Genomic DNA, 12,825 nt, shown 5'->3' with positions numbered 1-12,825 from the left:
CAATACACAAACAATTGTTTTGTTTTATGTCATAGTTCTGTTTCTGCAAACATTAAAAGGAAACCAAATGCTACTTGCTCCAAAAGAGGCCATGAATCACGTTTTAATAAAAATAATCACTCACTATTTATCTATTTTGTAAGTTTAAAATTTCATGTCCTGGATTTACTTACAATGAGCTATATCAAACCTTTAGAAACATAACCTATGGGGTATCTGCCTGTCGTTAAATAGGGCCTTCAATGCATAGTATATAGTTTGTTCAAGGAGAAGTGAACTAGTCATTGATGTGGCTCATTACAACAATCACAATAACAACTATTCATTAGTCTGTTTTCACACTGCTATAATGAAACACCGGAGACTGGATAATTTATAAACAAAGGAGGTTTAATTGACTCATGGTTCTGCATGGCTGGGGAGGCCTCAGGAAACTTACAATCATGGTGGAAGGGGAAGCAGGCACCCTCTTCACAAGGTAGCAGGAGAGAGTGAGTGCTTGTGAAGGACGAACTATCAAACAGTTATAAAACCATCAGATCTCATGAGAAGTCATGCACTATCATGAGAACAGCATGGGGAAACCACCCCCATGATTCAGTCATCTCCCACCAGGTCCCTCCCTCAACACGTGGGGATTATGGGGATTTCAATTCAAGATGAGATTTGGGTGGGGACACAGCCAAACCATATCAAACTATTATGAATTCTGCTGGTTGAGTTTGTAGTAAGTTCTTTACAAATATCATCCATTGAATATAAATAATCATAATATAAATATAGAGATAATTGCAATAAATAACGTAAAGTAGATATTATTATGATGACCCATTTTTCAGGTGAGGAAACTGAGGCTTAGGGAAATTAGGTAACTAGCCTGGCATCACACAATTAGTTAAGTTACAAGGTCAGAGTCGAATCCACATCTGGATGGTTCCAAAGCCCGCAGATTCACCATGCATTGCTATTTTTTTTTTTTTTTTTTGAGACGGAGTCTCACTCTATTGCCCAGGCTGGAGCACAGTGGCTCGGTCTAGGCTCACTGCAAGCTCCGCCTCCCTGGTTCACGCCATTCCCCTGCCTCAGCCTCTGGGGTAGGTGGGACTACAGGCGCCACCATGTCCGGCTAATTAATTTTTTGTATTTTTAGTAGAGACGGGGTTTCACCGTGTTAGCCAGGATGGTCTCAATCTCCTGACCTCGTGATCCGCACGCCTCGGCCTCCCAAAGTGCTGGGATTACAGGCGTGAGCCACTGCACCCGGCCCTGATGTGCTGCCGTTTTATCTCTTCACTCCTACCACACGGTGGCCAGCAGTGTGCGGGAAAAAATTTAGTGCTGCTTTGTCCCAGCTGCTTGTTCAGACCACATGGTGCCTTAGTGAGCTCACAGCTCTGGCCTTGGCCTGGTGACCACCTCGATGTGACCCTCCTAAAGTAAACACTGCACACCTCAGGTCTCATGCTGCCCTGCTGATGAGTGGGCTCCTAATATGCTGAGTCATTCTCAATGCCCTTCTGCCAGTCTTGACTGCTTGCACTCCAGAGGGTTGCTTTTGGCTTGCTGGCCCTGGCTGCAATTTCTTCCTGCCAGCTTTGGCATGCCTACCAAAGGGTGTATTTCTTACTTGCCTGATGGCTGTGGTACAGCTCTGGGCCCAGAAAACCCATTAATTTTTAGTATTTATTGAGTATCTCCATCACCTCCCATGAGATCTCAGTCGCATCCTTGGAGAGGGGCCACTTCCAAATTTGTTTATTCTTTTTGTACTCTCAGCTCTAGAATATTCTTTAGGGCTGTCTTTACACCTTCATAGTTATTTCCCTGTTCATAATGAACTTCTCTATTCAAATTACTGCATGACTTGTGCCTCCTGGCTTGGATTCTTGACTGATACAAATTCCATTTTGGATTTCTTTCATCATCCCTGTTGATTTTGTCTATCTATATATCTTGAGCACATAAATCACTACTATGGTTGCCAAAAGTCAGAATTTTATAAGAAGGGTTACTCAGAAAAGAGTCACTCCTCTGCCCCCCACTATCCATTCTATCCTGCTCTCATTTTCCCATCCTTTCCAACCCAATTCTACCTATTTCTTGTATGTGACTAGGAGTCATTCCCTTCTCCTTGTATGTGACTAGGAGTCATTCCCTTCTCCTTATGTGTAACTAGTCATTAGTTTCTGGTTTATTTTTTCTCTATTTATTTTTGCACTATTGAGCAGATATGTGTATAATTTCTTATTTCCTTTTTTTCTTACACAAAAGATAGGCTTTTCTATTTTTTCACATTTTGCTTCTTTCAATTAACAGTATACCCTAGTAAGCACAGCATATCAGTTCATAGGCATCCCTTATCACTCATTTTTTATGGCTGCATAGTACTCCACTGAGTGTACTATAGTTTATTCACCTACTCTCTTAAGTATTCAAGCTCTTTCCAACCAATATCATAATAAATAACCTGTGTATATGTATTTTTGTACTTTTAGAGATGTATATTTAGGGTGGATTCCTAGAAGTAGGACTGCTTAGTTGAAAAGTAAGTGGATGAATCATTTTGTTAGTCATCACCAAATCCCCCTCTAAAAGGGTTGTGCCAATCTGTATTCCCACCAGCAATGCATGAGAGTACCTGTTTCCCTCTATTCTTGCCAACAGAATGTGTTGTCATACTTTTAAATTTTTCCTTATCTGATAGGTGAGAAATGCAATAGTTTTAACTTGCATGTCTTTAATTATGGGTTGTTTGAATATCTTCTCATAAGTTCAAATGCCATATATATGCTTTTAAATGAGTTGTCTGTTCATGTCTTTTTTTCTATTTTTCAGGTAGCTTTAATCATTTCCCTCGCTAAGAATTATTTGAATATTGAGGATATTAACCCCTTATCCATGTTATAAATTATACATATTTTTCCCTTTTGACTTTGTTTATGGTTCTCCTGCAATAAAAATGTTTTAATTATTTTATGTAGACACATTTATCAATATTTAATTTTTCTGGATTTTAAGTCCCTATATCAAGGTTAAAGAAAAATTCACCCATATTTGCTTCTTGTATTTGTACAGTTTAAATGTTTACATTTAGATCCCTGATCCATTTGGAGTTTATTCTTGTATATGGTATGCAGTACAGATTTTATCTTTTTCCAATGGCTACCGCATTGGAAATTTTCCCCACCTCTGCCCTAGCAATACCTGTTTAGGATACACCTACATTTCCATGTCTTGGGTCTCCTTGGGGACTTTTTATTCTATCCCACTGGCCTATTTTTCTATTCCTGTGGTCAGGCCCAGACTGTGTTAATAGAGGCTTTCTAGTATGTTTCAGTGTCTACCAGAGCATTTCTCTTCACAGTTGTTATTTTAATTGCTTTCCTGGCTATTCTTGCATGTTTACCTTTCCATATTCATGTTAATAACAACTCGTCCTTGATAGTTAATTTTATGTGATACCAAATTGAGGAAGCAATTCAGGGACCCAGAGATACATTCCCATTAACAATTAATAATTCAGCCAATGGGAGGTCATGCAGAGACCTGGGCCCCAGAAGAAGATTGAGGACAAAGCACCAGTAGCGCAGATTGGGGTGAAGAAAATTATAGAGGTAGGAGGCAAACCCCAGGTAAGTACCGTAACTGGAGTCACAGTTGGCTAGAACATCAAGATAAGAAGGTGAGAAGTGGTGGCCGTGCCCTGAAGAGAGGAAGGAACCATAGCCTTACACCATGGTGGGAAAGGGCCAGTAAAGATGATGTAGGAGCCCATTTGTACTAAGTCCTCAGGTGAAGTGAATTTACTTATTCATTAAGAAGAAAATATTCCCAGCCCTCTTTTCAAATAGTCAACAATATAGCTTTCAAGAGTGTTAAGTGTATTTATGCTTTACACATATCTGAAGTAAGGTTTGCTTTATTTTATCCCTAGAAAAATCTAAGTTTTTTTCTTGGAGTGTTCAATAATTTGAAACTAAAAATTTTAAAAGCATTTCAAACAGCTCCTTTACCTCCCCTGCCCACGCATTTACCAAAATAAATAAGGCCACCATGCAAGCCACTCTCTGATTTGCATGGCAGTGAGATCTGATGCAAATTCTCACATTTTAGGCCATTTCGGGGTTTGTGGAAACGGCAAAGGGTTCCTTTCTTTAAATAGTCCTGGGCATGATACCCTTGTCCAGGATATTTTGACATTACTGTTACTGCAAAGTAAACACATTTGAGGAAATAAAATGCTAATGATAAAATAAAAATTTGGGGTGGTATCAGGTTTGGTTTTTGCTGTAAGAAAACATCCCAGTCTTGAGTGGAGAGTTAGAACTTGTGGCCTGGCTGTCGGCTGTGGCTCTCACCTCACTCCCATCCTGCTCCCTGCCATAGAGGGCTGTATTGTTCCTAACCCCCCAACATCCCCTACACACATTTCACTTCTTCCTCCTTCCAACCCCCACTGCCCCACAAAGAAAGCAGGATTGGATGCCCCTTTGCACCCCTCCAAATTCTTCAAAAGCATATAAAAGGTACATGTCATGCTCAAGGGCTTTGTATGTTTAGTCTGGCACTTATACAGAATCCAGCACTGCATCTGTTCATAAACAGGTAGTGTATGATAACCCCTGGTTCATCCCACCTGGTGAGAAGATTGTGCAGGTACCACCTCACCCTTTGCTCATCCCCATGCACCATCTCATCCTGCCCCACTGCCCAGAGCAGCTGAGGTTCCCATTCTGTGTTCCAGGTCATGGACACCATTTAGTTAATGAGGATTGATAAAGACACATTAACTATTAGAGGGAACTGGAGGAAAGGGAGAGGGAATTCATAGTTACAGAGCACCAACTTTGTCCAAGGCAAAAGTGCTTTAAATACCGTGTTTCATGTAATTATCATAGCTCTCTATGAACTGGGCATTCTTATCCTCATTTTTCACAGAGTCATTTGTGAGTCAGGAATTTTCTCACCTCTCCCTGACCCAGACGCTGTGGTGAATTATGGTACGTTTGATTTACTGGCTAGTGCATAGTAAGTGCTCAAGAATCTTTGGTTATTTGTAGCTTAATCATGGACTTTCGAAAATTCAAAGCCTGACCCCCATATAATTGTTTTCAAAGTTTCAGGCGCTGGCAGGGATATTTTGGTGGATTATCCCTGTCATGCAGGGTAGAAAGAAGACTGCCTTGTCTGAACCTGAGGAAGGTTTCTCTGACTTCTCTGATTTTGTTTCTTCTCTTTTCCGTGCCTTTGGCTGACCCCAAATTTAGAAAACCTCATAACATAATTTGGCTCTCTAGATTTTCTGAAAAGTAAGTCTGTCCCTCATGACCGAGCTTACTCTACATGCCAAAATGCCAGCTAAGTCTGACCTCAGAAGTACGGAGTGTGCTTCTCCCCATTTGAAAATGTTATTCACATTCCCTTTAAGGATTATTCCCAGCACAAGGGGCTGCTTCTGAATGCAGCCAAACGCAAATGATCAGTCAATATATGTAAATCTGCTTGACCTCACTAATCATCAGAGAAATGCTAATTAAAAATAAGAGAAGCCATTTTTTAAAATCCAACAGACTACTCCAGATTCAAAAGATGGATACTATCCCCAAGTCAGCATGGATGTAAGAAAACTCTCATATATTTTGACGGAAAAGAATATTGACGGACATCTTTAGATACCCAATTATCAGTGTTGATCAAAATTTGAAATGTGCATATTTGTTAGTTCACTTTTAGTTGTTTTCTGTCATTCTATAATTGCTTTTCCTTTTGTCTAATTTTTTCTTCTTTCTTTTCCTTCTTTTTTTTTTTTTTTTTTTTGCTTGAAGTCTTACTGGCTGAAGTGTCTTTCCTTGTGATGCACGTCCTTCACCTGCTTTCACTTATGCTCAGTTTATTCCTGCTTGCTTAATTTGAGAGAAGGAAGCACATATAACCAGGTTGTTTTTTATTTAAGGGAATTTCCTGAGAGACGCCCTCATTCTTCAGGCCCAAAAATAAATGGGAGATGTGTCTTCAAGAAAAGGAATGAGCAGCTGTGGTGAGAGGCCTCCAGCAGAGGCTGACTCTATGCCATTCTGGGGGTGCAGAACTGGGTCGCCACATGGATAGTTCACTTCTTCATCCATGGCCTGCCCAGCTCCTGGATCTTCTCTCCCTAAGTGAAGACCCAGGGCTGCCATTAGCCCACTTGGGGCCTAGTGTGAATTACAAGGCCTCCTCTTTGGGTGAAAGCACCCCTCTGGCTAGTGCTTATGAGCAGATGGGTGTCTCTGGGTGGTTTGTCTTAGCTTTGTTTAGAAACCATGGAAGGGGCTCTATCCCAGCCTCTTTTATTCACCCTCTGGGCCAGGCATGCTTTAGCGGGGCACCACCTGTGCAACCTTACCTGGGGGCCCTGAAAGGATGCTAGTTTGTCTTGCAGAGCCAATGGGAAATTGACACGTTGCCTGAGCTGTAATGTGGGCTTCAGCCTCCTTGCCCACCTGAGACCAGGCGTTAGCATTTTTGGTAGAAATGTTCAGTAGTTTTGTTCGGGGCATGGCCATTTCTTTGTTTCATTAAAGACAGAGTTTTCTTCCATGAGTTTTAAGAGACAGGAGTAGAGTAAAATCCCTGTTTCCTCAAACATGTTTAGCCAGAAGCTTAATTTCAGAAACATAACATTGTAACTTATTTGAAATTGTCTTTCATTTTACATTTTTTTTGGATGCCTGCATACTCATAACTGGCTTCTGTCAGTCACATGCATTTATTGCAGAGAAAACGTACTTAGATTTCTAGTTACATAGTGTTGTTCAAAAACACTATTTTTTCTTGACTTTCGTGCCAGTCAAATATCACCTCATCATCTTTGGTTCCTATACTGTCTTCAGTATTCTTTTGCAGTTTTCCCAAGAATGCTGCTGTCTGGGGAGGTATACAAAAGGGTTCTACATTTTGATTATGGCACATTTCACTTATTTTCAGTACACGAACCCCACGTTACTTAGTTTCAAAATTCCAGTGGACTGTGATGACAATTTTAGCTAAACTATCAGTCTGTTGCAGGCTTGGTGGAGTGGTTTGAGTTAGGCTATGGCTATTTGTGTGTCTACCTTACAGGAGAAGAAAGAAACAACAGCTATTTGATAAGGAAAGGCCAATTCTGTTGAGCATCTTTTTTTTTTTCTGGTTCTTTTTACTTTCTGTTTTATTGGGTTGTTCACTCCAGCAAGAAAAAGACCAGCTTATATTTGGCCTCATAGGTAAAAGTGGAATATGGAATCCACATTAATTGGTGCCATTTTTTTCCTTATTAATTCTGTTCTCTTACAGATTGCCACCCTGGGCAGCTGGTTTCGTTCGTGGGCAGCCACTAGTGAGGAGAGCTCTTCAGCTCCTTCTTCCCTAAGGTCTATGATTTTGACATTAGAAAAGACTTGATTTCTATGTTCATGACTCTCCTGTAAGACCGCTCCAACAGGCCAGGATGGAGGCTCCTTCTCTTGTAGGAGGCAGCTTCTCCTGCATACTTAGATTTTGTGACCCAGGTTTCTGGATTTGAACAACCGCCCTATTTGAAAACAGCTTCAAAAGAGCACCCGAGTGTCCCCAGGATCATACTGAGCCATTATTTCCTGTTTTGTAACTTTGGTGGGTGGAATAACTTTTTCCTCAGGAGAGAGTCTTTTATTTTCTTTTTCTTTTTTTTAATAATATTCTCCGGGTTCCAAGTAAATTTTTATGAGGAGGAGCCACAAAAATATATTGGGAGGAGAGGGGTAAAGACAGCAAAAAAGTAATGCATGCTTTAATATAGCTGAGTTGACTGAAAATCAAAAATAAAATTCTAAGCCCCTCAACCATCTGAATGGATGCCTCATCTCAGCCAAGGACTTTCCAAAGTTAACCTGAAAAACTAGTTCAGGCCATGATGGGAAGTGGGATTTGGACATGCCTCATTATACACTTCTCCCTTTTTGAATTCGGGCACAGCTGACCAGCATTAACATCAACACAGAGCCCTAAGACCAGCAGAACAACTCTAAGTCTGATAAGAAATATTTACAAGCTGGCCAGGCGTGGTGGCTCATGCCTGTATTCCCAGCGCTTTGGGAGGCTGAGGCGGGTGGATCATCTGAGGTCAGACATTCGAGACCAGCCTGGTCAACATGGTGAAAACCAGTCTCTACTAAAAATACAAAAATTAGCCGTGCATAGTGGTGGGCAGCTGTATTGCCAGCTACTCAGGAGGCTAAGGTAGCATAATCATTTGAACCTGGGAGGTGGAGGTTGCAGTGACCCAAGATCATGCCACTGCACTCCAGCCTGAGTGAGCAGCAAGAGCAAAACACCATCTCAAAAAAAAAAAAAAAAAGAAAGAAAGAAAGAAAGAAAGAGAGAGAGAGAGAGAAAGAAAGAAAGAAATATTTACAATCTATTCTCTCTGAAACCTGCTACTTGGAGGTTTCATCTGCATTATAAAACCTTGTTCTCCACAACTCCTTATTATAACCCAGACATTCCTTTCTGTTGATTCCAGGTCTTTAGATAATAACACTTTCAACCAGTTGTCAATCAGAAAATGTTTGAATCTGCCTATGAGCAGGAAGTCCCCTCTTCCCCCCACTTTCCCGTTGTCCTGCCTTTTCGGACCATGCCAGTGAACATCTTACATGTATTGATTGATGTCTTATGTCTCCCTAAAGTGGTATAAAACCAAACTATAGCCTGGCCACCTTGAACACATGTTCTCAGGACCTCCTGGGGCTGTGTCATAGGCTGTTAGTCACTTAAATTTGGAGCAGAATAAATCTCTTCAAATATTTTAGAGTCAACATGACAATGGCTTAGTCTAACCAGCATGTTGTAGGACACCATAAAATTAAAAAAAAAATCCAAGTACCAAACAAATCACTCTTCAAGGGGAACAAGCTGAGAGTAATGGGTACAGAAGGTGGCTGTTTTAGGTGGAAAAGTAAAAGAATCAGCCACCCCCTTTAGGGTTTTGCTGAGTGTTGTAGATAGGGCTAGGACTGCAGTGAGCAACACCTCAAAAATGTGTAAGGCCCACGTGGTTGGGAATTTGCATTCAGGTGTAATTGAAGCTAAGATGTTTTCCAAAACTATTAACATTTCTTGGCTTAAAAATTGGGGAGCTAGCACACTGGGCTGCCTGGGGCTGGTTGTACAGGGAAGGCTGAAGAGAAGAGCCTCAGAAACACCAGAATCGTTTGAAGCCCCTGGGGGTTTTACATAGCTGAGGAGTTTTACTTGTTCATTTGTGTGTTTACACCCTTGAGACAATACAATCTCAACAGTAATCGCCATGTTAAGTGGTAGTCATGCCAGTCTTGCTAAGATATATCACAGTTCTCTGTTTCTTCAAAGCATGATGACCAAAAGAAAACCTTTTCTGGATATTTAAGTCAGGGATAGCTTTAAAAACCTCCACGGCTGCCACGCGCTATTGATGGAGTTTGCTCCTGGGCCTGTGGAGGTTTGTAAGCCAGCCTGGAAATGCTCCTTTTAAAACTCTGCCTGCTTTTCATGCTTTGTTTGTGTTGTTTCTTTCCTGGCTGTGTGCAGTGCTTTGTTGGTGCTCTGAGGGTCTGTCCTATGGTTCTTGGCCCATAGAAACTTCTCTTCTTTTTATGTCTTGGCAGCTCTCAGGCTCCTGGAAGATTGCAACCCCTGCAAACAAGCTTGTTAAGGTTTTAAACATGAATCAGAGACATCAGCAAAGGCCAAATGGGACATCCTGCAATCTTTAGCGTGGACCACAAGAAGCTATTTTTTCACTATAGGTGCCTTTCTTGCTTACTTCCTGATTTCTGGCTTTGTTTTATGTGGATAAAGGTTTGGGCTAGTGTAATTTAAGATAAACTAGGAATCACCATAATTTCAAAGAAGAAGAAAAAAGTATGGTAAAAGCAACATTGTATTCTTTATTCAGAGCTTGTGTTATATTATGTTCACAATAAGGGAGAGTTCCCTTTACTGCTGTGATGCCAAGGGGTTGGGCATTAGGAGAACTGTGGCCAAGTCTTGTGGGTGGGGAAATCTAAAACAGCCACTTCAGATAGCTTTGGATTGGGAGAACTCGGTAGACGGAAGTGTGACTTCCTGTCCTGGTTTTGTTGCTGCCTCAAAAAAATTACCCATTTACTCTAGATCTGTTTCCTAAATTGTAAGTTGAAAGATTTAGAAGAGAAAATAGGATACTTCTAGCTTAACATTTTGAGTTATGTGTGTTTCTACTTAAAGATCTTTAAAATACAGGACTCCTGGCACATGGCCAAATGGTAAATACCAGCTCGAATGCCATCCTGAGATCAGATATCAGGACAAGAGCAAGAGAATGAGTTACCTGGGTCTCTCTCATCAACTCTGACTTGACAGAACAAGGCAGGCAAGATTAGAGATGAGCACCACCTTCCTGGCACTGTAACCTTTTCATCAGCATCCATTAGACAATGGAGGATGAAGTGACTTCTCTGCTGGGGCCCAGAATCCATCAGAATTGATGACTAGGAATAATTATGACACACTCCTGGCCAGTTAGGCTTCGGCTGGTATTTGTTGTGCTGCCTGAATTTTATAATCCTCTTTTTGGTCCTAAAAACATTAAATCTCTTTCTGTGTGTCCCACGTTTAATAATTTTCTGTCCCTTGAGACTTTGCCGTCTGCATGCTGAGTGTAAAGGGCTTATTCTGAAAATTTCTAGCAGCTTTTGTGTTTAGCAAAACTGCAAAATTCATAAATTGTAAAAGGAAGTTAGGAGGGGCGAGGAAGCACATTTCACTTTCAACATATTGTCAGAAATGAGTGAGCTACAGTCTGGGACAAAATCTTGGCCATGAAATGATGACTTGATACCCATCATTCGATCTGTCACAGTGATAAGACCAGGCAGATTGGTTCTTCCTGAGGGTGTGGGGGCCTCCTGAGGATGGCGGCTGGTTTGGAAGAAGAGCTGAGATTTTCCTCTCTCCCTTTCAGACTGTATTCGCACATGCTCACCAGTAACGGTGTCTTAGAAGAGCCACTGAGAAAACCGTATGCAATATGCAGAATGCATTGTATTTTAAATTTGGATGTCATTCACGACCACACACATGCTTGGGAAATGTTATTTAGATATTCATGGCACAGTATGTATACTTGGGAAAATATATATGTGGAAGGTTTTAGAGTCTGGTAAGATTCTAAATTCCTGTATGGAACTGTCTGCCTTATAAATCTCAGGCACCTATCTGGTTTCTAGTCAGTTGTCATCCATTCACTAATATCACCGGTATTCTGAGAGATTCTAGGATTATTCACTAGGGTCTAATTCATCACTGTGTCTCCATGTTGAATTATAATAAGCCTATTCAACCTACATTCCTACCTTGCTTTCCTATTACAGATAAAGATAAAGTCCAATTCCTTGCTATCAGTTACAAGGGCCCCTATGATCTGGTCCCTGCCTATCCCTCCAGTGTCCACCCCTATACCTCTCCCTTCCTATCACTCTCCTTCTCAGCCACACTGGCCTTCCCTCTGTTCTTAGAACACACTGATGTCATTTCCTCAGGACCTCTGCTGTCGCCATTCCTTCTGCCTGGAATGCACATCTTACTTGGCAAAGTTGGCTGCTTTTGCGATTTAGGTCTCTGCTCACGTGTCACAACTTCGGAAAGGTCTTTTCGAACTCCTCTGTTGAATGTTACTCCCTCCCCACCACTTCATCACATACATGTTTTATTTTTCTCTAAGCACTCATCACTCTCAGAACTGATCTTTGTTTCACTGATTTCCTATTTGTCTGTTTCCCAGGCAGGAATGCAAGCTCCATGGCAGTAGGGACATTGCCAGTGTTTTCCAGGTACCTGGCCCAGGGTGGTGGCTGAGTCCACATTTGTGAACTCAGTGGCTGCACATGTGCTTTCTGCAAAGCCAGCGTTATGTCGTGAGAGTCAGAATAACAACAACAAACTAAACTACAAAAAAGTTATACCGAACAGTGGTCCCTACCAAGTTATAAATCTGTGCTTCCTAGGGGATTCACAGCACTGGCTCTTGGAGAGATGAAAAAGTAAAACTCTATTACCCCATGGAATTTTCCACATCCGCTTGCTTGCTCCCATCCTTGTCCTGTTGTGACCCACTCTCTCCCTCCGGATGGTGAATGCTACTGGTATCTCCTAAAGCCTGACTCAGGAGCCGCCTGCCTGAGGAAGCCCTTCCCAGAAGCCTCCTCTCCTGCCTCCCTTCACACCTCTCCCCTGCATGTCTTCTACACTCTGATAGCATCCTGACTTATATTTGGCTGACATTCTTTTCTAGGGAAGCTACTTTTTCTTTTGGTGCATTGGTAGGGAGGAGGGGGATAGGCAAGAATACTTTTTTTTTTTTTTTTTTTGACAGTGTCTTGCTCTGTCGCCCAGGCTAGATGTAGTGGTGCAGTCTTGACTCACTGCAACCTCTGCCTCCCTGATTCAGGTGATTCTCCTGCCTCAGCCTCTCAAGTAGCTGGGAGTACAGGTGCATGCCAACACGCTTGGCTAATTTTTGTATTTTGAGTAGAGATGGGGTTTCACCATATTGACCAGGCTGGTCTTGAACTCCTGACTTCAGGTGATCCACCCACCTTGGCCCCCCGAAGTGTTGGGATTACAGGCGTGAGCCACTGTTCCTGGCCTTTTTTTTATTTCTTAGCTGAAGCTACCTGTGTGTCTTCTATTAAATGTGCCTGCCATTGTCTTCAGAAAGTAATTTCTTTCCTGAGAAAAGCAACAAAGGAATGTTTGTCTACTGCCTACGTTTAAAAATGCCCAATAAGAGTGTTTCCATTCAGAATG

Source organism: Homo sapiens, chromosome 6 (genome assembly GCF_000001405.40).
Source record: "Homo sapiens chromosome 6, GRCh38.p14 Primary Assembly".
Classification (NCBI taxonomy): Eukaryota; Metazoa; Chordata; class Mammalia; order Primates; family Hominidae; genus Homo; species Homo sapiens.
Note: the sequence above shows the minus strand (reverse complement) of the source record.